Source organism: Homo sapiens, chromosome 7 (assembly GCF_000001405.40).
Source record: "Homo sapiens chromosome 7, GRCh38.p14 Primary Assembly".
Lineage (NCBI taxonomy): Eukaryota > Metazoa > Chordata > Mammalia > Primates > Hominidae > Homo > Homo sapiens.
This window is the reverse complement of record NC_000007.14, coordinates 97,910,542-97,934,564: the sequence shown is the minus strand read 5'-3', so window position 1 is coordinate 97,934,564 and position 24,023 is coordinate 97,910,542. Positions and strand designations below refer to the sequence as shown.

At 49.5% G+C, this 24,023-nt stretch overlaps 1 protein-coding gene and 1 long non-coding RNA gene across 2 annotated transcripts in view, besides 2 other annotated features; both read left to right on the top strand.

Annotated features, from left to right (window-relative positions):
- CZ1P-ASNS (CZ1P-ASNS readthrough) overlaps positions 1-24,023 on the top strand; it is a 120,242-nt gene that overhangs the window by 37,794 nt on the left and 58,425 nt on the right. The window contains exons 3-5 of the long non-coding RNA NR_147989.1: positions 5,788-6,483; positions 21,461-21,552; positions 22,729-22,857. This is a non-coding gene — a long non-coding RNA (CZ1P-ASNS readthrough). The remainder of the gene's footprint in view (positions 1-5,787; positions 6,484-21,460; positions 21,553-22,728; positions 22,858-24,023) is intronic.
- Positions 6,066-6,235: a silencer, noted in NCBI's record as "silent region_18388". NCBI's record gives its function as "represses an Ori minimal core promoter by ATAC-STARR-seq in GM12878 lymphoblastoid cells {active_cell/tissue: GM12878}" and the evidence as "EXISTENCE:reporter gene assay evidence [ECO:0000049][PMID:35858748]".
- The window catches only part of ASNS (asparagine synthetase (glutamine-hydrolyzing)), a 76,765-nt gene continuing 58,865 nt past the window's right edge, over positions 6,124-24,023 (top strand). Inside the window, exon 1 of the mRNA NM_001352496.2 lies at positions 6,124-6,483. The gene's annotated coding sequence lies outside the window, so the exon portion shown is untranslated. The remainder of the gene's footprint in view (positions 6,484-24,023) is intronic.
- Positions 19,010-19,069: an enhancer, noted in NCBI's record as "active region_26303". NCBI's record gives its function as "activates an Ori minimal core promoter by ATAC-STARR-seq in GM12878 lymphoblastoid cells {active_cell/tissue: GM12878}" and the evidence as "EXISTENCE:reporter gene assay evidence [ECO:0000049][PMID:35858748]".

Genomic DNA, 24,023 nt, shown 5'->3' with positions numbered 1-24,023 from the left:
TGGTTGGTTTTAATAACAAATCTCTTCCCTTTTTCTGTCCCCTGTGTTCTATTCTCTTTTCTCTACACATTATTCTGGGAGGATTCACCTATTCCCAAAGTCCTTTCCTCTTTATTTCCATTTCAGAGCTCTCTGTATAACTCCAGGCTGACGAATCCAACGGCCCAGTTTTTATCTCCACTTGGCTGTCTTTCTTGCATTGACCTCATCTTACCTTGCCTCTCCTGATTTCCTCTTCTGCCTGGGCTCATCACATCAGATTCACACCACCATCCACCCAGCTTCCAAAACACCTGGGCCTCCTCCTTCATTCCTCCCTCTGTCTCAGTCAAGTTAGTCTACTGTCTCCTCTCCATCCTCACTGCCACAGCCTTGGTCTAGCCAACCATCTTGTCTCACTTGGCGTATTGCAGCCTCCTACCTGGTCTACTCACCTCCCACTCTCCTCCAGTCAGACTGCTCTTTTTATAGCACAAAGTGGATCATTACTCCCCTGCATAAAAACATCTACTGTCTCCCTTTGTCTACAGGATAAACACGACAAATAACCTTTAAGATTTGGCTCCAACTTACCTCTATATTAGTCAATTTTTATAATTATATAAACATCTCTCAGCTCCTCACCCTCTCACGTCTCGATTTGTGCACATGCTCTTCCCTCTGCTGGGAATGATCTTCCACACCTCTCCTATCGACCTGGCTAATTCCTACCATTTTGTAGTCTTCAACTGAGGAGTCCTGTGGTGGAGAAGGATTTCTCACCACCTGATAGAGATTGCATGCCCACCCACCTCCGGGCTTTTATTTATTTATTTATTTTTTTGATGGAGTCTCGCTCTGACCATGCAGGCTGGAGTGCAGTGGCGCGATCTTGGCTCACTGCAATCTCCGCCTCCCGGGTTCAAGCAATTCTCCCACCTCAGCCTTCTGAGTATCTGGAAATACAGGTGCCCGCCACCACATCTTGCTAATGTTTTTGTATTTTTAGTAAAGACAGGATTTCACCATGTTGGCCAGGCTGTTTTTGAACTCCTGGTCTCGAGTGATCCACCCACCTTGGCCTCCCAAAGTGCTGAGATTACAGCATGAACAACTGCACCTAGCCAATCGGATGCCCCTTCTATGTGCTCCCATTGCCCCAGGCATACTGTCACCATAACTTTTACCATTCTGAGTTGAAAATGATTTTTTTTTTTTTGCTTTTTATTTCTCTCATTAAATGCAAAGCTCATTGAAAAGAGGATGGTGGTTGTTCACTGTTGTACTACTAACCTTTGACTCAGTGTCCTGAGGTTGGCTCTAGAGTTGTGCACACATGTTCAGACATTGGAGCACATCTTGTCTAGCACCTCTTTTGAGGTGACTTAGAGAAAAGTCAGTAGGTACTTCCCCAAGAATGAAAGATAAGCTTCACCTAAACCAGTTCTTCAAATTCAGCCTGCATTAGTATCCTCTGAGAGCTTGTTAAAAATACAGTCTCCTAGAGCCCACTCTTCAAGAGTCGGTGAGTTGCTTCATCATCAAAATATATACAGAATTCAGGCAGTTTTCAGCGCCAGCCTGGTCTGAGCCACTGTGGACTCCCACCTGCAGAATCTCCCTGCTGGTCTCCTTGCTTCTGCTCTTACCTTCTTATTGCCCATTCAAGTAGCCAGGGTGATCCTTTTTAAAATTTTTTTAAAATTTTTTTGAGATGAAGTCTCACTCTGTTGCCCAGGCTGGAGTGTAGTGGTGCTATCTCAGCTCGCTGCAGCTCTACCTCCTGGGCTCAAGCCATCCTCCCACCTCAGCCACCTGGGTAACTGGGACCACAGACATACACCACCACACCCGGCTAATTTTTGTATTTTTTGTAAAGACACGGTCTTGCTATGTTGCCCAGGCTAGTCTTGAACTTCTGTGTGCACCCACCTCAGCCTCCTGCATTTTTAGGAGGCCCCTCTTGTAGGGATTTTGATGCAGAGGCCTGGGTGCCTCATGTCTCCTCCCATCTCTCTCTGTCTTTCTGTCTCTGTCTCTCTCTCTCTTTCCCTTTGCCTTATAGCTGCCCTGGGGACTAGACTCTGCCTTAGGCATCCCTCTGACTCTTGTTTGCTTTTACACTGAGGCTGCTTTAAGTTGCACATTGATCTGAAGCCTTGGGCTTCTGTTCCTATTCCTTGCTTTTGTTGGAAGGGCCGTGCAGCTTCTTGACAAATTGCAAAGGTGCCCACGAGTTTCCAAGTCCCCAAGAACCAAACCAGATGACAAACAAAGATGCAGCCCACAGCTGGAGAGACAGATTTCATGTCCACACAGAGACTCCAAGATGCTGAACTGAAATCCACCCCAAAACCTGCTTTCTCTCTCATTTAAGTTCAATGTGAACTGGGGGCTTGCAGGGCAGGGCTGGTGACCATTCACAGGGCAAAGATGCTTTGAAATGGCAACTGAGAATGGTGTGGTTGTTGACAGATGGCACATCAGAGCATAGATTAACATGGAAAGAGAAACTCACCCCTTGGGGGGAGTGTGTGAGGCTGGCAGCCACACAGAGGGCTTTTCCTGCGAGCTCTTGCATAGATGCAAACAGCCAGGAGGTTTTGCTTTCTGAGCCTGAGTGGAACCATGTTCCTCCCTGCACGTTGCCGCTCTGCAGCAAATGTTTATTCCTGTTGCATTGATTAAAAGTGCTTACCAGGCCGGGTGCGGTGGCTCACGCCTGTAATCCCAGCACTTTGGGAGGCTGAGGCAGGCAGATCACAAGGTCAGGAGATTGAGACCATCCTGGCTAACACTGTGAAACCCCGTCTGTACTAAAAATACAAAAAATTAGCCGGGCATGGTGGCGGGCACCTGTAGTCCCAGCTACTTGGGAGGCTGAGGAAGGAGAATGGCATGAACCCAGGAGGCGGGGCTTGCAGTGAGCCGAGATTGTGCCACTGCACTCCAGCCTGCATGACAGAGCAAGACTCCGTCTCAAAAAAACAAAGTGCTTACCGAAGGGGTTTGAGGGCAGTGGTGACAGTGTGAGTTATGGCTCTGCCGGCTGCCAGTGGAGCCAGCCGCTCTGCACAGCCGTGCAAGCGTGTTTTGAAAAGTGGCTCAGCCAGCCAGGAGTGACTGGCTGTAAATATTGCTGCCACAACATCTTGTAGCCTGATTGGGGCCGTGTTTGCAGAACCCCTAAACCACTACACTTGTTCAGGCTTAAAAATAAGCTTACTTTTGTTTGTTTGTTTTGTTTTATGAGATGGAGTCTTGTTCTGTCACGGGGTTGGATGTAGTGGCATGATCTCGGCCCACTGCAACCTCTGCCTCCTGCGTTCAAGTGATTCTCCTGACTCAGGCTCCCGAGAAGCTGGGACTACAGGCGTGTGCCATCATGGCCAGCTAATTTTTGAATTTTTAGTACAGACGGGGCTTCACCATGTTGGCCAGGATGGTGCGATCTCTTGACCTCGTGATCTGTCCACCTTGGCTTCCCAAAGTGCTAGGATTACAGGCGTGAGCCACCGTGCGTGGTCAAACATAAACTTACTTTCTTACCTCTTCTGCTGAACTCTATTTGCTTCTTTTCTCAACTTCTGCTGAACTCTATTTTGCTTCTTTTTCCTGGATAAAGCTCTTCTTTATCCAGAAGAGCTTTTAGCAACAAAGTTACCCAATGCCCTTCCCTAGTCTCTCCTTGCAACTGGCTCTCCGCGCGGGGGGGGGGGGGGTGAGGGGGTGGGTGGGTAGGAGGATTGACAGAACCAATTAACATGACTGTTTGGAGGACTCTCGCTAGCCCCAGGAGGTGTTTGCATTTTTAAATTGGTTAGTAGTGTCAGAATGTTTCATGAGTAAGAGCACAGCCTCTAAGTTGGATGCCATGAATTTAAATCTCAACATGGCCATTTTGTATATAACCAGAGGATGGATTTGGGGACCCAATGGATCTACCATGACATGAACTTGCACCAACATTCACCTGACCTCCAAAATGCCTATTCTGTCTGGTAGACCCTAGTCTCGCCCTAGTGCCAGTTCAGAGCCTGTGTCCAGTGATCCTGCACAGGGCCCATTAGTTCCTTTTCTCCTGTTCAGTCATCCTGGTAAAAGGCTGTGTATTCCCTTGGGGGCAGGCTGGGAGAAAGATTGACAGTATAAATTTTTTGCAGTGGAGCAGAGTCCTTTCTGGAGGGGACCTGGCTTCCCATTCAGACAAGGGACTCCGGGTTTGTGAACTGGCTTATGTCTGGGAATTGACTGGGGACTGTGACTCTGTTTTTATGATTCAGATTAGACTTCTGCTCACCTGACCTAGAACTCTTCTGCAAACACAGATCCAGTAAAAATGTGGCAGGCTTCTTATCTATTTCACTTCTAGGAATGCCACGATCAGCTGGCACCATAGGTCTCTGCGAGTCAGGCTATTCTGGTTGCAGCTTTGACTCTGCTGTCTTTTATGGTAACTGCATCCACTTTGCCTTTGGGGATTGAGTGCTCTGATCACTTGGCCCCAGCCCCTGTAGTGTGCCTATGTCACTTACCCTCTTTATACCTCAGTTTCCTCCTCTATAAAATGGGCATCCTCATTGCACCCACCCCAGGGCTGCTGTGGGGTATAGATGGATTAGCATATGGAAAGTAATAGAAGAGGGTCTCATAGCCCATGTGTCGTTATCAGAATTATTTCGTGACAGGGGAGAGCTGGAGGAGAGAGGAAGGTGCTGAGCAGACCCATGTGCTCTCCCACCAGTGTTTCCTGAGCACCTACTATGTGCTGCCCACTGTGAGAGCTGTTAGGGTTGAAATAGGGAGCACAGCAGGGCAGGGGCTGCCATCAGGAGCTTAGTGGGGAGACCATTGTGCAACATGTTTCCAGCGCTTGGGGTGGAGAAGTTCAGGGAGTACAGGGACCTAGGATCCTGGGCAGAATCATGGAAAGGACACAGCCTCCCCAGCCTCTCCTGCCTCCTCTGCCTCCCTGGCCTCCTCTGCTTCCCTGGCCTCTCCTGCCTTCCTGGCTTCCCCTTCCGCCCCGGCCTCCCCAGTCTCCCCTGTCTCTCCTGCTTTTGAGGTGGGCCAGGAGCTGCTGGTGCTCACTTAGCCTGTCCTGGACTCTGGGTGTAGCACTTCGATGTCCAGAAAATACCCCCGGGTTCAGGTCATCACACAGCCAAGGCAGGAGCTCCACACTGACACTAAGGGTGCATCCTGGGCTCATTCATCAGGGCATGCCTCCAAAATATTTCTCCACGTCTCCTCCCTTTGCCCACCTGCATTGTCTCTGTGCCTCAGCCCCGGCTGGGGGCCTGCAAGGATCCCCTATATCCTCTGCCCCTGCACGGCTGGGTCCCAGGCCATCTGTCCGCCCACCACACCTCTCTCACCTTGTCCACCACGCTCCAGCACCACAGTCCTCTTTCTGCTTCTTTCCCAGCCTCTGGGCTTTTGCACACGCTGTTCCCTCTGCCTGAACACCCTCCACTGGGCTGAGAACAACTCTCTGAGACCTCTCTCAGCTGTTGCTTCCTTTGGAACAGCCGCTGCTGCTGTCACTCTCCCAGCTCCAAGACCTGCTGAGCCTCCTGTCTTTTTTAGTTCCCATGTCCCCAGCACTTCTCCTTGGCCTCCTTTGGCCCAATTGACAATGTCCATTCTCAATGCCTTCTCACCCAGCGCTGAGCCCCACTGGGTGAAGGCAATGCCTGTCATGTTCACCACAATATCCCCTCCCCCATCACCACGACTGGTCCACAGTGATGCTCAAAAAAGATCTGTTGGTAGGCAATGTGAAGGTGCATTCATGTCATCCTGCAGGCGGAATTCTCCACGAGTTTTGAGCAGCCTCGGTTTTCCCACCACCTCCAAATCATGCAAGACACAGGGTAAGAGCAAAGACAAGGTGGCTGTGGCCGATGTCCACCCTCTCGGGGCGTCCCTTCTCTTCTCTCCTCCTTGAGCAGGGAGACCATCGGGGTGCAACCTGGTTGGGGCGGGGAGGAGGTGCAGGGCCTGGCCAGAGCGGGCCTGGCCACGGGCAAGGGACAGCGACCCCCGGGCCAGGACAGGTGAGAGCGGCGCAGGCCCGGGCCCGGCGTGGCGGAGGTGCGCGTGAGCGGCCAGCAGAGGGCGCCAGAGAGCCAGGAGCGGCCCGCAGAGGAGCCCGCGCCGGCCCCGGTGCCCACCTCCGCGCCGCGCGGACCCTCCGAGCCCGCGCTCAGACGCCCCAGCTCCGCCGAGAGGCCGCTTGCGCCGGGTCCTTCTTCCCCAAATGCAGGCAGAGCCCCCGGAGCCATGGCCAGCCCTTCCGGCAGCTCCAAAGCCACTGGCAAGCCCCGAGGCAGGGATGGCCGGCCCAGGAGGGAGGAGGACGACGTCCCTCCCGAAGAGAAGAGGCTGCGGCTCTTGCTGGAGGGGGGAAGCGCACAGCCCCAGGACTGCGAGGACGGGGAGGACGCGCCGCGGCCGGGCAGGGAGGAGACCGGCACCCAGACAGGTGGCGACGGCAGAGGAGTAAGTGACGCGGGCGCGGGGGTCCGGGGGTGCCGGGAGCGCGGGGGTGCTGGGGACGCGGGGTAGGGGCGGCGGGAGGCTCCGTGGCCTGCCCCGGGTTAAAGCTGGGAGGGCGGCCTTCATTCTGAACACATTTAGGCAGCACGGGCAGCCCTCCTCGCCGTGGGCTGCATCAGAGCCCCCCTGCCCAGTCTTGGGGTTGCTCCCGGATGCTGTCTGGGAGGCTTGCTCATGGTGACATCCTCATCTCCCCGTGCACGTTACTGCATTCAGAGCTTGGGTCACCTGGACACTGAACTCTGAGTGAATTTTCTCTGAGATCCCGGGAGAAGGAGGACAGTTCTCTGGAAGGTTTTCCAGGGCCGATCACGGAAAGGATGAGAAGGGAGAGGTTCTGGTCGGGGACACAATTACGGTGGCAGTGTAACATCAGGAAACTTTATTGCGTGAAGTCCCTCTCACTCCCTCTACCTCCTTCTTTTACGTGGACTCTGCCAAAGACCAGGATACCAGAATGCACTGCAGTGACCAAACGTAGTGGGACCTTGGGAACGCGAGTCTGGAGCCAGGCGGCTGGGGTTTGCATCCTGGTTCTGCCCCTCCTTAGCTGGCTGACATGGCACAAGCCACTTACCCTCTCTGAGCCTTACTGTCTTCAGTGGCAAATGGATCTGTCAACAGGCCCCATTGCCTGGGGTTGTTACTGCTGAGATTAAGGGATGCTCGTCCATAGAAAGACTTAGCGTTGTGCCTGGCACATAGTGTATGGTGGATAAATGGGACTTAGGACTAAAACTCATGCCTTGGTGTGTTTTTGCAGTGATGTTTTGTTCTGGGGTGCATCACAAGAGACAAGGTTCTTGGCCGGGCATGGTGGCTCAAGCCAATAATCCCAGCACTTTGAGAGGCCGAAGGGGGAGGATCGCTTGAGCCCAGGAGTTTAAGACCAGCCTGGGCAACATGGTGAAGCCTCATATCTACCAAAAAAAAAAAAAAAAAAAAAAAAAAAAGCCAGGTGTGGTGGTGTGTGCCTGTAGTCCCAAGTACTTGGGAGGCTGAGGTGGGAGGATTGCTAGAGCCTGGAAGGTCGGGCTGCAGTGAGCTGTGATCATGCCACTGCACTCCAGCCTGGGTGACAAAGTGAGACCGTTTCAAGCAAAAGAGAGAGAGAGAGACAGACAGACCCACAAGAGTCTTAAGCCAGAATCTCCATGTTAAAATGCTTTCTGGAGGCTAAAATGATGATATGTTGATAATGAAATATTTAAAAGGCAGAAACCCCACTGAATTTTTTGGTCCACAAAGGGAAATGGGAATCGCATGACCTGAAGGATGATGGAGGAACTGAACAGAAACCATCCTTGTTTCCTGAATCTGAATATGGCACGCTCTTTTCGCGGCGCCTGTATCTGCTCAGTCTGGCGGCCCCTTGAAAAGAGGGAATCTTGATTTTCAAACTTAAAATTTGGCCCAAAGCCCACTGCTGCCCACAATGCCCGCCAGACCCATTCCTCTTCCCTTTTAGTTTCTATGGGAATACTCTCTTTGAAGAACCCATGAAGAAGTGTCAGGCTGGTGTGAGGATCAGCAGTGATTTCTTTGAGGAGGAGAGCCTGTTTCTTCACTCACAGGCCATGTCTGAGTGGATCAAGAAGAACAGAGTGCCCTTTTATGAGATTTTGTCTGTGTAGACCATTAGCTTGGTAAAAATGTCAAAACCATCCTCATTCTTTAATAGCAGATTATTTTGGACTTTTCTCTGCAAGAAGCAGCATGGGCATTCAGATGCTTTTAAGGATAAAATGTTCTTTCTCATCACCAGGCCTGGTGCTCTGGATGGCTGAGGTTTTAATGTGACTGGATGTCCCTTGGAGTGGCTCCCAGGCTGTGATCTCGTGGTTGGGTGGCAAGGGGTTGCTTTATTCGGTGTTGGCTAAAGGATGTTTTAGCAGGTAAATCGGGACCCCAGGAGACCCTGAGTGCCAAGTCCTGCTGCAGGGCATGTGTTTATGGTGGGGAGGCAGGGGGGTGGAGGGTGGGGGGCATTGATTTCCTGCCAATATCAGAAGTTTCACAGGCTTCTTGTGTATCCATAAACACCCATCCCATTAAGACGCCTAGAAAACCTGGCCCTCCCCAAGCCTTTATTGACCGCTTGTGAATGATCCCAGGGTGTGTCTGACCAACAGCTCTTCCTGGAGGGAGACAAGTCTCTCCTAGGTATTTGGTTATCAACCTCAACCATTTGCTCAGCCTTCCCCAAGACCAGGCACCTCGGCAGAGATTTCTGGGTTGTCAGGCAGAACCGAGCATTCAAGGGTGATAACTCACTGGAGTCCCTGAAATCCCTGATTAACGCACCAGGTAAAAGCATCCAGGGTTGAAACCAGATCAGGAAGGTTATTGTCAGCCTGGGGCTCCTGTAGAGGTGCATCCACGTTGCAGGTATTTTCCCTTCTTGCTGAGGAGAAACCTGGGTTTCTCAGCTTTGGCACAGTCACAACACTTGGGGTCAGACCATTCATGGTGGTGGTGGTGGGGCCGTCCCGTGTATTGTAGGATGGTTAGCAGCATCTCTGGTCTCCATCCTCTAGGTGCCACTCTACCCTCCCAGCTATGGCTACCCCAGATGTCTCCAGATGGTTTCAAATGTCATGGAGCAAGGGAGTGGTACGTGAGCAAAACCACCCCAGTTGAGAGCCATTGGTCTACATTTGTGGAAATGTTTGAGGGTGAGAGTGTCGAGCTTGGGTCCCTGCTGTACCCTTTATGAGCAATGCGGTCTTGGAAAATTAATACTACTCCAGGGACCTCAGTTTTCTCATCTATAAAATGGAGATAAATGAGATACACTTTCATAGGAAGGTTATATGGGATTTACTGAGATAATAAGACAGTACATGGAAAATGCTGGGCATAGCATTTATTTATTTTTATGTTTTTTAAAGATGGAGTCTTACTCTGTTGCCCAGGCTGGAGTGCAGTGGCATGATCTCTGCTCACTGCAACCTCCACCTCCTGGGCTCAAGTGATTCTCCTGCCTCAGCCTCCCGAGTAGCTGGGATTACAGGTGCCCACCACCACACCTGGCTAATTTTTGTATTTTTAGTAGAGATGGGGTTTCACCATGTTGTCCAGGCTGGTCTCAAACTCCTGACCTAAGGTGATCCGCCTGCCTCGGCCTCCCAAGGTGCTGAGATCACAGGTGTGAGCCACCACGCTGGGCTGGGCATAGCATTGTAACACAGACAAAGCACAAAATACTTGGGCAATATCTTTTTACATTTGGCTTGTCTAGACTCCATCCTCCATCCCCTCATGCACTGGTGTGGTGCAGACCAGAATATCACCCACCTAGACTGCAGAGTGGATTTGGGTGGCATCTTGGCTTTCTGCACAAGACTTGCCTGTTCCCCACCACATCCCCCTGGTTCTCAGGGTCCAGGATTCCAGGAAGCAGGGATGTGGGCAGGCAGGGTAGGTGGCCCACCCAGTTCACTCCCACGCTGGGGACCTGCAGAGCTGGCTGTCCGAGACAGGGTGTTTGGACCAACATCTGGGTTTCTGGATTTCCATTTGAGCACAGCTGGACTACACAGGCTGAAGCTTTCTCTGCCGAGATATAGATATTTCCCTGGTGACGATCTTTCAAGCTGACATGAAGACATGGCCACCCACTGGAACGTGGTGTGTCTGCCGTGGCGCTCTTGTAATTTGTGAGGCAGGCTCCTGAGGAATGCAGTGCATAAGTGGGAAATGGTGGGAAGTTCTCGCATCCCCCCCTGGCCGAAAGTGCTACCTGCGCATGTTGGTGGACAGTCCTTTGAGCAGGAAGAAGACATGAAGCACATTCCTGTTAGCTACGACAGAGAGGGGCAGGGTACACACTGGACATTTCAAGCCCCTCCAGAGAAGCAAGTCTTACTGTGCTGGGAGTACTTGTGGAGTGCGGGCTGTGTTGCCCTGGGCTTTAATTATTTCAGGAACATTTAACCGCAGGGTTGGCAGGCCGGATCTTGATATGTGTTTCTCAGTTGGAAAGACTTTGGACCATAGGGAAATGTCTTCTCAATTCTTTTAATTTCATTAAGGTTGTCATTTTTCTTCTTGTGGCCTCTGGAATGTGACACAGAACTCAAGGGACAGGAAGGAGATGAGTTGGAGGCTGGGACAGGGGTCCCTGCCAGGGATGCTGGTGACTCACATGACGGTGTTGATGTGTGGAGTCCGGTGCCTGGTTTAGGGAATATTCGTGGGATATGTTCCAAAGGACTGACGGACCTATCAGGTACTGGAGGTGAATGGTCAAGTCTGATCTCAGGGCTGACAGTGTCAGGCAAGGACAGGAAGTTGACGTTGGACTCATTGGCTGAGGTTGCTTGGGACCCAGGGGGCAACGTGTGCCAGGACAGATGGGTCTGGGGCTAGGAAGGCAGGTTTGGGCTGGAGACTTGGGCTTGGGAGGCATCCCAGGTAGACAGTGGTTGAGGCTGTGGAAATGACCGTGATTGCCTGGGATGAGAGTGGAGACGGACAAGATGGGGGTTTTGCTCTAAGCCTGGGGAACCCACCTCCCATGTTCAAAGGATTCTCCTCCCTCAGCCTCCCAAGTAGCTGGGAATGCAGGTGCGTGCCACCATGCCTGACTAACTTTTGTATTTTTAGTGGAGATGAGGTTTGGCCAGGCTGCTTTCAAACTCCTGACCTCAAGTGATCGGCCCACCTTGGCTTCCCAAAGTGCTGGGATTACAGGCATGAGCCACCATGCCTGACCATTTTTAAATATTAATTTTTATGAAATATTTTCAAACACATTGGAAAAGTCAATCATGATTTGAAAACTTTATCAAAATCCAATCAAATGTCAGTTAACCACTTAATTGTGGATGAGTAAGGAGACTATTTTGACCAAAACGTGTTAGAACAATTACCACTTATAGAAATAATCTATGTTTTAATGTTTTAGTTGAATTAAACAATCTTTTATATTCTGTCCAGGCGCAGTGGCTCACACCTGTAATCCCAGCACTTTGGCAGGTCGAGGCTGGCGGATCACCTAAGGTCAGGAGTTCGAGACCAGCCTAGCCAACATGGCGGAACTGTCTCTACTAAAAATACAGAAATTAGCCAGGTGTGATGGCACACACCTGTAATCCCAGCTGCTTGGGAGGCTGAGGCAGGAGAATCATTTGAACCTGGGAGACAGAGGTTGCAGTCAGCCGAGATCACACCACTGCACTTCAGCCACCTGGGTGACAGAGCGAGACTCTGTTTCAAAAATAAATAAATAAATAAAATAGAATTCTGAATTTTATTTTTAATAATTATTTTGTAAAAAGAATGTCTTGTTTTTTGGAGTTGTTGAATTTATTTAATTGACAAAAATTATGTACAAGAGGGTACAACATGATGTGATTGAAGTATGTATACGTTACAAAATGGCTAAATCAAGCTAAATAACATCACCTCCCAGACTTATTTTTTTATGGTGAGAACACTTAAAAAATCTGCTCTCTTAGTGATTTCCAAGTGTATGTTATGTTGTTATTAACTATAGGTACCATGTTGTCCCATGGATATCCTGAACTTATTCTTCCTCTCTAAAAATGACATTCTGTGTCCTTTGGCATCTGCCCACTTCCCCACCCTGGCAACCATCATTCTACTCTGCTTCTGTGAATTCAACTTTTTTCTTTTCTTTTTCATCCTTTTTTTTTTGAGACAATCTCATTCTATTGCCCAGGCTGTAGTGCAGGGGTGTGATCTTTGCTCACTGCAGCCTTGACTTCCCAAGCTCAATCAATCCTCCCACCTCGGCCTCCTGAGTATCTGGGAGTACAGGCATGCACCACCACGCTCCACTAATTTTTGTATTTTTTTGTAGAAATGGGGTCTTGCTATGTTATGCAGGCTGGTCTCGAACTCCTGGACTCAAGCAATCTGCTGGCCTCAGCCTCCCAAAGTGCTGGGATTACAGGCATGAGCCACCATGCCTGGCCGAGTTCAACTTTTTTAGATTTCACATATAAGTGAGATCATGTGGTATTTGTCGTTTTGTGCCTGGCTTATTTCACTTAACATAATATCCTCCAGGCTCATCCATGTTGTCTCAAATGGCAGGATTTCCTTCTTTTTGAAGGCTGAATAGTATTCCATTGTGTATGTACACTACATTGTTGCTGGAAGTGTAATGGAGACCAGTTGGGGGAGGAGGGGGAAAAGATTCACTCTAAGTCTAGATGCTCCGGCACCCACCCAGGATGTGTGCAAGGAAGTGCAGGATGCTCCTGGTCTTGCAAACTGTGGTTTGTGGGACTCCAAAGCCCCTATCCTTCCACAGTGCTTTCTGTCTTGTTATCACATTTCCTTGGAGGAGAGCCCAGCCTTGGTGGAGAGCCCTGCTCTGGCTTTGTCCCTCGGCATGAGATGGCAAAGGATGGTGCTGCTGGGAGACCCTCACGTCTGCACACTGGGGGCTGCTTGCCTTCTCCATTCCTCCTTCAAGTATCTGAGCAGCTCCTGTGTGCCAGCTGCTGGTCTACAAGATGGATCGGTCCTTGGAGATCATGCTGTAGCAGAGGAGGCAGGCTGTAGCCCACACGCCACAACCAGCCCCCTGCCTGTTCACACAAATAAAGTTTTATTGGAATACAGCCACACCCATTTCAGTGCATATTGTCTGTGGCTGCTTTCCTGCTACAATAGAGAGTTGAATAGTTGGGACAGAGACCTATGGCCTGCAAAGCTGAACTATTTACCATCTGGCTCTCAAGAAAAGGGAAAAAAATGCTTATCTTTGTACCCCGACAGTCTTAGATTAAGAGTACTTTGTACCACCCTGACGTCCCAGGCAGCCATGAGTCCAGCCACCCCTGAAATGTACACAAGTCTGGGCTAGGGTTGCAGCAGGTGAGTCCCAATTTTGCAGATCTTTGGCATCAGGGGCACAACCCAGGATTTTGAGTGGGGTTTCCTCACCACTGTGGCTGGGCACTGGGCTAGTGTGCTTTCTGATTTTTGTATGGGGAAGAGAAAGGAGGGAGGAAATGGCAACTTGTTGCCCTGTTCTAACATTTTCCTAAGATGGGTCTCCAGGCAAGGGCTTGGGATCTCACCTTACACAGCTTACAAAACCCAGTGAGGCCGGCTGTCTTGGCGCTGCCACTCTGAGGGATGGAGCCCCCAAATTACTAGGAAGGGAGAAAAAAGAATGGTTTCTGCAAGCACAAGAAGTGGCGTTATTGAAATTAACATTTCCCCCAAGTTTTATAATGTCTAGGCATGCATATTTAAGTGTCTGTCTCAAAAGCTCTTGCTAATAACCAGATGGTGCATTTAATTTCCTTTTTTTGTTCTCTGAGCAACATGCAGCTTCCTACACAGCCCTCCTTGCAGGCAACTGCACTGAGGTGACAGTCCTCCTGACTGCCAGCACAGATCCCCAGGGCCTCTGAGAGCCCTGTATTCTGGGGGCAGCCTTTCCCCCTTCTATTTGGCCCCAGCTGGAAGGGGGCAGGTTACCCACAGTGCAGCACAGGGCTCCTGCCTTAGCTTAGCTTAGCTCCTGCCTAAGCACAGGGCTCCTGCCTTCTCTAGGGAGTCTGGCTCCCTCTGACCCTCTAGACCTCACCAGCTGAGGATCAGAGCCCCGGGGCAGGAGCCAGGGCCGGGGGGCATTGGGGGGTGGTTTGAGAGTACAGCTCTGGAGGGGGGCAGGACGGGCCCAGGAAAAGCTGCTCAGGGGAGACTGCCAAGAGATGGCAGAGTTAGGACAAGAGGGCCAGGCATGGTGGCTCACACCTGTAATCCCAGCACTTTGAGAGGCCAAGGTGGGCGGATCGCCTGAGGCCAGGAGTTTGAGACTAGCCTGGCCAACATGGTGAAAACCTGTCTCTACTAAAAATACAATAATTAGCCGGCCATGGTGACACCTATAATACCAGCTACTCGGGAAGCTGAGCCACGAGAATTGCTTGAACCCAGAAGGTGGAGTTTGCAGTGAGCTGAGATTGTGCCACTGTACTCCAGCCTGGGCAACAGAGCAAGATTCCATCTCAAAAAAAAAAAAAAGTCAGGACAAGAGGAGGAGGGAAGAGAAGGGAGCTGTGGGGCAGTAGCCAGGACCTTAAAGGCACAGAAGAGGAAGCTTGGATTTCCAATTCCAAAGGACATGAAGTCACACACCTTTATTTAACCTGCTCCAGGTGAGGCTGGGCTTTGTGTATTTTCCTTGCTTTCCTTTTCCTTGTGTTCAGGCTGTTGTAGAAACAGGTACACAGGGGCTCTGTGTGGCGCCCTGTTCTAGTTGCCTTCTGGAAGCATGGGGTGCCCTGGTTTCCTTGGCTTCTTGTCCCCCTTTCCTCCTGCCACCCCTGACTGTGCACCCCACCTTATCCCTCAGACCATCCTCCTGGAGGGGACTGGCCAGGGCTTGTGTCCTTGCTAGTCTCTAGGAAGGAAGACTCTGTGGCTTGAAAGCTTGTCGGCTTAAGTTGCAAGGTGTAGGTGCCTGGGAGGGCATGTGCACGGCCCTCTTGACTGATCCATTCATGTTTTTCTTTTTTGACTCTGTCCTATGTTGTCCTGATGGAGGGGTAAGCCCCTGCCTTCTGCCTTTCCTGCCTTGGACTCTTGCAATTGGACCAGATGAGAGGGTCTGAGAATTCAAGCAATGCAGGCCAGGCATGGTGGCTCACACCTGTAATCCCAGCACTTTTGGAGGCCAAGGCGGGTGGGCCAGGAGTTCGAGACCAGCTTGGCCAAAATAGTGAAACCCTGTCTCTACAAAAAATACAAAAGTTAGCCAGGCTTGGTGGTGTGCACCTGTAATCCTAGTTATTTGGGAGGCTGAGGCAAGAGAATCACTGGAACCCAGAAGCAGCAGGTTGCAGTGAGGAGCAGGTTGCAGTGAGGAGGAGGTTGCAGTGAGGAGGAGGTTGCAGTGAGCCGAGATTGTGTCCCTGGACTCCAGACTGGGCAATAGAGCGAGACTATGTTTCCAAAAAAAAAATATTTATGTAGAAAACAAAAAACAAAACATCCTCTTGATTTGCTTTTCTTGATCTTGCTTCTCAGAGGTAACACTGGGAAGGGTTGGGGTATACCTCTCCACACCTTTTTCTTTGATTTCTTTTTATTTTTTATTCTACGTTCTGAGATACATGTGCAGAATGTGCAGGTTTGTTACATAGGTATACATGTGCCATGGTGGTTTGCTGCACCCATCAACCCGTCATCTAGGTTTTAAGCCCCGCATGCATTAGGTATTTGTCCTAACGCTCTCCCACCCCTTGTTCCCCACCCCCGACGGGACCCGGTGTGTGATGTTCCCCTCCCTGTGTCCATGTGTTCTCATTTTTCAACTCCCACTTATGAGTGAGAACCCGCAGAGTTTGGTTTTCTGTTCCTGTCCACACCTTTTTCCTCTGTGCACACAAGCACATGTATTTGCATATGTGTTTATTGTAACCTTTTTTAAAAAGTAAAAATGGAATAATGCTATATTTATTCTTTGGAAAGCCTGCTTTTCAGGCAGCATGTCTTTGACATTGTCTCACGTTGGAACCTGGGTACCACCTTCTTCTCCCAGCAGTTATTCTGACGTGTGGATGCACCACGCTTCGTTTAACCAGCCCTGCACCGATACGTCTTTGGATGGTTTCCGCCTTTTCCCAATCACAGACGGTGTTCTGATGGATTTCCTTACACACATCACTTGGTGCTCTGTGCCTGCATTTCTGTGAGATGTTCCTGGAGGTGGGCTGTCTAGGTCAGAGGGGGATCTGTGCTTAATTTGCATCCTGTGCAAAATTCCATCCAGTCATCCGGCTCCCCAAGGGCTCACATGGTACTGTCCTGTGTAGACATCATCTTCTGCAGATGATGGCACGACCGCCTCTCTTTCTTTTACTCACACCAGTCTGCACCCTGGTGTCCTGGGGGGTCCAGCCCCTACCTGCTTGTCTGCCCCCACCCCACAGTCCCCCCAGCCCCTGCTAACAGGGACTCTGGCTTCTGAGCTCTGGCAGACTGCCTCACTCTGGAGAAGTTTGCTTTCTCAAACAATCCTGGCAATGTTACTGCAAATCTCGAGGCCTGCATTTGCCTTCTTCAGGCCTCAGTTTCCTCAAAAGTAAAATGGGGTTAATGTGATGCTACTGTCTGCATCCTAGAGCTGCCATGAGGGTTCAGTGAGATCACTGTTGAGAGCACGTTCACAGCGCCGGCCTTGTGCGCAGTCAGCACGTGTAGGGCAGGGCTGTTGCTGATACGTGGTTGACTGTCATTGCTAGACTGTGGCTTTACCAGGGGCATTGTCTTTAGTGCCAAGCCCAGAGCCACCCCTAGTACCTGCTGTGTTTATAGAGTGATTGAGTGTCAGGGTCAGAGACTAGGGCAATGGCAGCAGAAACAGAGGAAAGAAGTGGGGCTTCTAATAGGTCCTGAGCCAGTGGCCCTTGAGATGAAGACTTCTTGCCAAGGTCTGGGGCTGTGCTGTGTGTTCTAGGCCCGAGACTGGAAGCTAGGCCTGGCTGCAGCCCCGGCTGAGCTGGGGAAGTGCAGGTCAGCATCCTGCTTCATTAGGACACCTCCAAGCCCAGCTTAGACCTGGATGCCAGGTGACCCTCTGTTTACTCTGAGCCCAGACAGAGGACAGGGAAGTGTGCAAGTGTGGGAACCCTCATCACAGCCCTTGACTCTGTAAGGCATATGGGCTTGTGCACGTGTGTGAGCACGGCCGTGGCTTCTCTGTGAGTTTCAAGCTCGAGGTTGTGTTTATGCAGGGTTAGGCTTGCCAGGTAAAATACAGGAAGTCCAATTAAACCTGAATTTCTCATTAACCTTTTTTTTTTTTTTTTTTTTTTGGTGCAAATATATCCCATGCAATATTTGGGACCTGCTTACCCTAAAAAATGATTTGTTGTTTATCTGAAATTCAAGTTTAACTGGCATCCTGTCTTTTCACTTGCTATGTATGAGAGTTCCGTGTGGGGGTTATGAGTGTGCATTTATGAGTTCCCATGTGAAGGACTCTCCAAGTGTCTGTAGGTGCCAGGATGGAGATGGACAGAGAAGATCCTCTCGGGCCACTTTAGTGGCACCTAGAGACTGTGGGGTAGGACACTTCAGCCCCAGGGGCCTAGGCAGCACTGTCCAGCACCTGTGTGCTCCTGTCTTCTTCATAGGGTCTGACTTCCCTGCCATCTCTCTCCAAATACGGTGGCAGGAGCTATCCCATCCGCCCCCATCTGGAGCTCGGCTGCCCAGCCAGACAAGATGGCAAACAGTGTGCAGATGGCTGCAAAGCTTTCCCCAGATCCTTCTGCAAGGGGACTGCAGATGAAATGGAAGCCCTCATCCTCACCGCCTCCCCCTTCCAGAAAACCCAGGCAACAGCCACCTCTGAATGCTGCTTGGGAAGCTTCTCCCTCCTGGTGATTAAACCACCCCAAATAAATAAAGCACTGCATTTCCACCATAGGCTTGTTCACATGCACGCAGCCTATTGTCTTGGATCCGCCTGTGTGCCTGATCCATCATGAGGGGTTCTCCTCTGAGGTGCTTGCAAAGAGCTGCTTGCAAAGAGTTGCTTAATTTTCATCTGAAAGACTCTGTAGAAACCAGGCCCAGCTTTGGAAGAAAACCTTTTCTCCCCCTTTAGCAAATTCTGTGTCATTCTTTTTTCTTTCTTTCTTTTTTGAGACGGAGTTTCACTTTTGCTGCCCAGGCTGGAGTGTAATGGTGCAATCTCGGTTCACTGCAGTCTCTGCCTCCCAGATTCAAGCGATTCTCCTGCCTCAGCCTCCTGAGTAGCTGGGACTACAGGCACCCACAACCATACCCAGCTAATTTTTTTGTATTTTTAGTAGAGAGGGAGTTTCACCATGTTGGCCAGGCTGGTCTGGAACTCCTGACCTCAGGTGATCCAACTCGGCCTCCCAAAGTGCTGGGATTACAGGCGTGAGCCACCATGCCTGGCTGGAATTCTGTGTCATTCTGGATACTTATCATGACTTCAAGCATCTAGGACTCTGTCCTGGGTATCCTGAGCCTGAGGGTGTATGTGTGTCCAGCTGGCTTGGAGGTTGTCTACAGGCAGGTTGAACTTGGCCTCTGAGTCCATGGCAGCCTCACATGGGAAATACCACCGAAGAGCCTCATCGTGTGCTTTTAGGAGATAGTTTCTATTTAGTCATTGCTGAATCTGTTACAGAGAGGGTCTCGATTTCTTGCAAGTCCTGTATGAGGTCGGTGCTGTGATTATCCACATGTTCACTTGTTCTCTCTGGCCTCTTTCAGGCTCTTGAACTTCCTTTGCTCTTTTCCTGCCACAGGGCCTTTGCATATCGGGCTCTTTCTTCCTGGAAAGATTTTCCCTCTCCCTGCCTCTTCACCTGGTCACGGTCTCATCTGACAGTGGAGTCACTACATCCTCAGGGACGCCTGGCCACACTGACTCAGTCACAGCAACCCCCTGTTATCTGCTTTCATGACACCAGGTGCCTCTCTGTGGTAGACACTAGCTCAGCTACGGCTTCCTGTTTCTGTGCGTGTCATCCTTCCCCTTCAAGACTGTGGTCACCGTGAGGGCCAGGGCCATGCCTGTTCGTGATTCTCATTTGTGTCTCTGGTGTTTAGTATATGCTTACCTAGAATTTGATTAATGAATGACGGCATACCCATTTTACAGATGAGAAAGTTGAGGCTCAGGAACATTGTGTAACTTGCTCAGTATTAGATAGTGATGGTTTGAAGCGATCTGGCTGGTCGCTGGGTGCACACTCTTAACCACTTCAGTATGGTTCTTCTCTCATGGTAGCTCTCCAACAGCAGGAGTGAGAGACAATTTTAGGACAGGTGTAGCCAGAATCCCAGGGGTTATCCTAGAAGGTGGTGTCAGGACCATGCTTGCCTATGGGCCTTCTTACTGTATTGCATAAAATACTCAGTTTTTCTGACTTGCCTTTAGTAAAGACCTTAGCAATATTTGAAGCACAGTTGTCTGTAGGAAAGGGTGGGTGTTTATACTTTTTTAAAAAGGAGTCTATATCATATTTATCTTGTGGTCTGCCATGCCCCCCGCTCTTCTTCAGCTTCAGTTATGCAAAATTCACACTTCTTCTCTTGAGTGCCTCTCTCTTACCTGTTCAGTTTCTTTTCTGTGTTCGAGATTGCTTAGAATTTTTCCCCATTACTACAGCCTGCTTCCCACCTGTATCCCCCAGCCAGCTTGTTCTGGATTTTGTCAACAACAGTTCCAGCGTTTAGTGAGGGCTGGACTGAAGGAAAGCCTTGGAAAAGCCTGTGTGATGAAAGGTGAGATACCTAATGTGCAGGCAGACATCAGGGTTAATTCAAAGGCTGGAAGAAGGGCTCACCTGGAGGACTGGAAATGTCTTTGAGCTGAAGGTCATGTGCAGGTGGAACGAAGAGGGTGAGCCTTTTGGGGTGAACTGCAAGTAGTTGATAAGATCCCTGTCCCCATGATTGGGGAAGTCTTGATAAGCATCCTCAATGTGATGGAGGGATCAAAGAACCCATGGCTCTACCTGTCTAGCATGGCAGCAACATGACACAGCCAAGTTATTGATTATTGGTTGCCCAGCTGTCATCACTCAACATCTTCTGTTAGTTATAGCTGTAATTTGCACTAGTTGTCAATGCCAGTTTTGACTTTCCTAGCCAATAAAGTGTTCCGAGAGTGGCGACTAAGGCTGAGCACTACCCATAATCATGAGTATTACAGAGGCAAGCCCCCTTGCCCACCCACCTGCAGGTGATGACACACCCTAGGAAATCACTCAGTTCTTTGGAGGACCCTGAAAAAATGCTCAAGTCCATCTGTTCATCTGTCCGTCCATCTATCCACCATTCCATCCATCCATCCATCCATCCATCCATCCATCCATCCATCCATCCATCCATCCATGCATCCATCCATCCACCCACCTACCCATCTATCCACCCACCCACCCACCCATCTATCCATCCAACCCACTCTCTTATGCACCCAGCTATCATCCACCTACCCACCCACCAACCCATCTATCCATCCACTCACCCATGCATCTATCCACCCATTCACTCAGCTACCCATCTATCCCCCTACCCGTGCATCCATTTATCTATCCCTCCACCCCCTCACCCACTTATCCATTTCTCCACCCACTCAGCCATCCCTTCACCGACTCAACCATTCATTCATTCATCCACCTGCCCACCCACCCATCTTTCCATCCACCAATCTATCCACCCACCCACCCATGTATCCATCCACTGCTTGTCCTTCTGTTCATTTATTCCACAAAGACTCATTAACCACCTACTAGATTCTGGGGAGGTATCTGCTCTAGTAATTGAGAACATGGTTTCTGGAATCTGATTCCCTGGGCTCAAATTGAGCTGCCTCCTAGCTAGCTGCTTGGGCAAGTTATAGAAACTGTGCTTTGATTTTCTTATCTGAAAATTGGCTATTAATAGCTTCTACTCTTGCAGATATAGTGAGGATTAAATAAGATGTCACATTAAAAGTGCATCATCGACACTCAATAGAGATTAGGTTTTACCATTCATTATTATTCTTGGCAGATGCTGCAGATAACATGGAGAGCATACGAAAGGCACATGTTTTAACCAATAGTGACATACAAGTGCTAAGTTCTGCAATAGGGGAAGGGCAGAAAGCCATGGAGAGGGCCTGGCCCAATCCTGGAGCCTCAGAAAAAAGTTCCCCGTTGAATTGCTGTTTTAGCTGAGACTTCTGGGATGGGTAGTAGTTGGAGATCCCAGACAGGAGGTGACCGAGTTAGCAAGGGAAAAATTGGGTCCTGGCACCCATGGCAGAGTTGAGTGATCCAGTCTTTCTGTCTCCACTGGCTGGAAGTCCACCAGATCTGGGAATGTCCAGTTGGGGGAGGGGGCTGACAATGATCATGACCTTCACCTGTCCTCACATGTCCTCTGTGTATCTGCAAAGCCTCTGCCTCAGTCTCCTCTTCTGGAAAGTGGGATTGGAAACCACATCTGCTTCTCTCCCAGGACTGCTAGGCAGACAAGATTAGATGGCAGGTGAGAGCTCTTTGAAAATGAAAACATTCTGCTATTTGAATGCAAAGTGTTCTTCTTTGTCTGTGATGTTTCCTAATCTGTGAAATCATACTGGACCTCGAAGCTGTCTATTAAAAAAAAAATAGCAAATTGGCTGGGCAGGGTGGCTCATGCCTGTAGTCCTAGCACTTTGAGAGGCTTAGGGGGTTGGATCACTTGAGGCCAGGAGTTTGATACCAGCCTGGCCAATATGTGAAACCCCATCTCTACTAAAAATACAAAAATTAGCCAGGTGTGGTGGCGTCTGCCTGTAGTCCCAGCTACTCAGGAGGCTGAGGCACAAGAATCATTTGAGCTCAGGAGGCAGAAGTTGCAGTGAGCCGAGATGGCACCACCGCACTCCAGCCTGGGCGACAGAGCGAGGCTCTGTCTGAAAACAGAAAAAAAAAAAAAAAAAAAAAAAAAAAAGCAAAGTTAACACTTCCTCCATCTCTCCCCTAGGGGAGGCAATTTGTCAAAGATTGTTGTTGGATTTTACACACAGGGAAATCTAAGGAATGTGTGGAAACCAGACCAGGACTCTCGTCTCCCTGTTTACAGGGTCTTAAATGGGGGAGCCACTTTGGGTTCTTTCCACAAGATTGCTTTGTAAAAAAAACAAGAAGCAAACAAACAAACAAAAAACTCAAAAAAACAGCCCTGACCTAAATATTCACAAGGGACCTTAGGCAATATCTGCAAACAAAAGTGAGTGATGAGTGGAATCTGTCATCTTTACAACTAAGACAGCTCCAGAGTTGAAGCAAGTGGAAATATCTCTAGAGACAGAGACTTGGGCGGGTTTTGCCAGTTACAAGCTAGGAGAACCTGGGCAGGTTTACCTCTCTGAGCTTCTGTGACCTTGTAAAATAGGCTGCATTGCGCTAAACTTGCGGGAGGAGTCCCAGCATCCTCCTGTGCACAAGGCTGGTTTCTTCCCATCCTTTTCCTTGTTCTGCCTCTCTCCTCCTCTCCAAGAGATGAATGCATTTGGACCCAGTAGGGGCCTATGTTTGCAAAAGCTCTCAGGTGATTCTAATGCAGGCAGCCTGGCTCTGGCAGTGAGTTCTTGGACACTTCTAGAGGCACATTTACTAGTGAGGAAGGTCACTGTGTGCTGAAGGCATGACTCATCTTCCATTCCTTTCTTCCATGAAGCAAGGCGCATGGGTCGACTGAGCTGGGAGAGTCCACAGTGTCAGCCTCCCCCACGCTTCCCTCCCTCCTTATTCCTTGTGTGCTGTACTTTGTCTTGATTTCCTGTACTCTGCACCAAGCCAGGAGATGGTAAGATCTCAAAAAAATCATTTTTTTGGGAAATGGGATCAAGAGGGTTTTTGTTTGCTTGTTTGTTTGTTTGAGACAGGGTCTGTTGCCCAGGCTGGAGTGCAGTGGCGTGACCTTGGCTCACTGCAGCCTTGACCTTCTGGGCTCAGGTGATCCTCCCACCTCAGCCTCCTGAGTAGCTGGGACTGCAGGTGCACACCACCATGCCTGACTAATTTGTTTATTTTTTGTAGAGATGAGGTTTCACCATGTTGCCTAGGCTGGTCTCAAACTCCTGGGCTCAAGCAGTCCTCCATCCACCTCGGCCTCCCAAAGTGCTGAGATTACAGGCATGAGCTGCTGTGCCTGGCCAAGGTTTTTTATTATTATTATTGTTATGAAAACTTTTCGATAAACATAAAAGTAGAGAGACTAGTTTAATGAGCTATCATATACCCATCACATAGATTTAAAAACTATTAACATTTGCAATATTTACTCCATTTGTTTTTCTGAAGTATTTACAAAATAGTTTACAGTAGTTATGTAATTGCATCCTGATATTCACCCCTACGTAATTTACTTTCCCTCTAAAAACATGAGGGCAGTTTTTATATGATCATTGTCATACCTAATCAAATTACCAGTAATTCCTTAATATCCTCTAAGATCAAGTTTACATTCAGATGTCTTGTCCTCAAAATGTCAATTGTGATTATTTTTTTCTTTGAGCAAAGATAATAAGATCTCAAGATTTAATGACAGAGATTCCATGTTAGCCCTGATGTCTAAGCTCTGTGGTCCATTGTGGCTTTACTTGAAAGTCTAAGGCTAGGCGTGGTGGCTCACATCTGTAATCCCAGCACTTTGGGAGGCCAAGGTAGGTGGATCATGAGGTCAAGAGATCAAGACCATCCTGACCAACATGGTGAAACCCTGTCTCTATTAAAAATACAAAAATTAGCCAGGTGTGGTGGTGGGTGCCTATAGTCCCAGCTACTCGGGAGGCTGAGGCAGGAGAATCACTTGAACCCGGGAGGCGGAAGTTGCAGTGAGCTGAGATTGCACCACTGGACGCCAGCCTGGGTGGCAAGAACGAGACTCTGGAAAAAAAAAAAAAGTCTCTCACTGTGGTCTCATAATAAAAGGACACTCCATTTCCCATCTGGCCCCTGCTCCTTAATGTT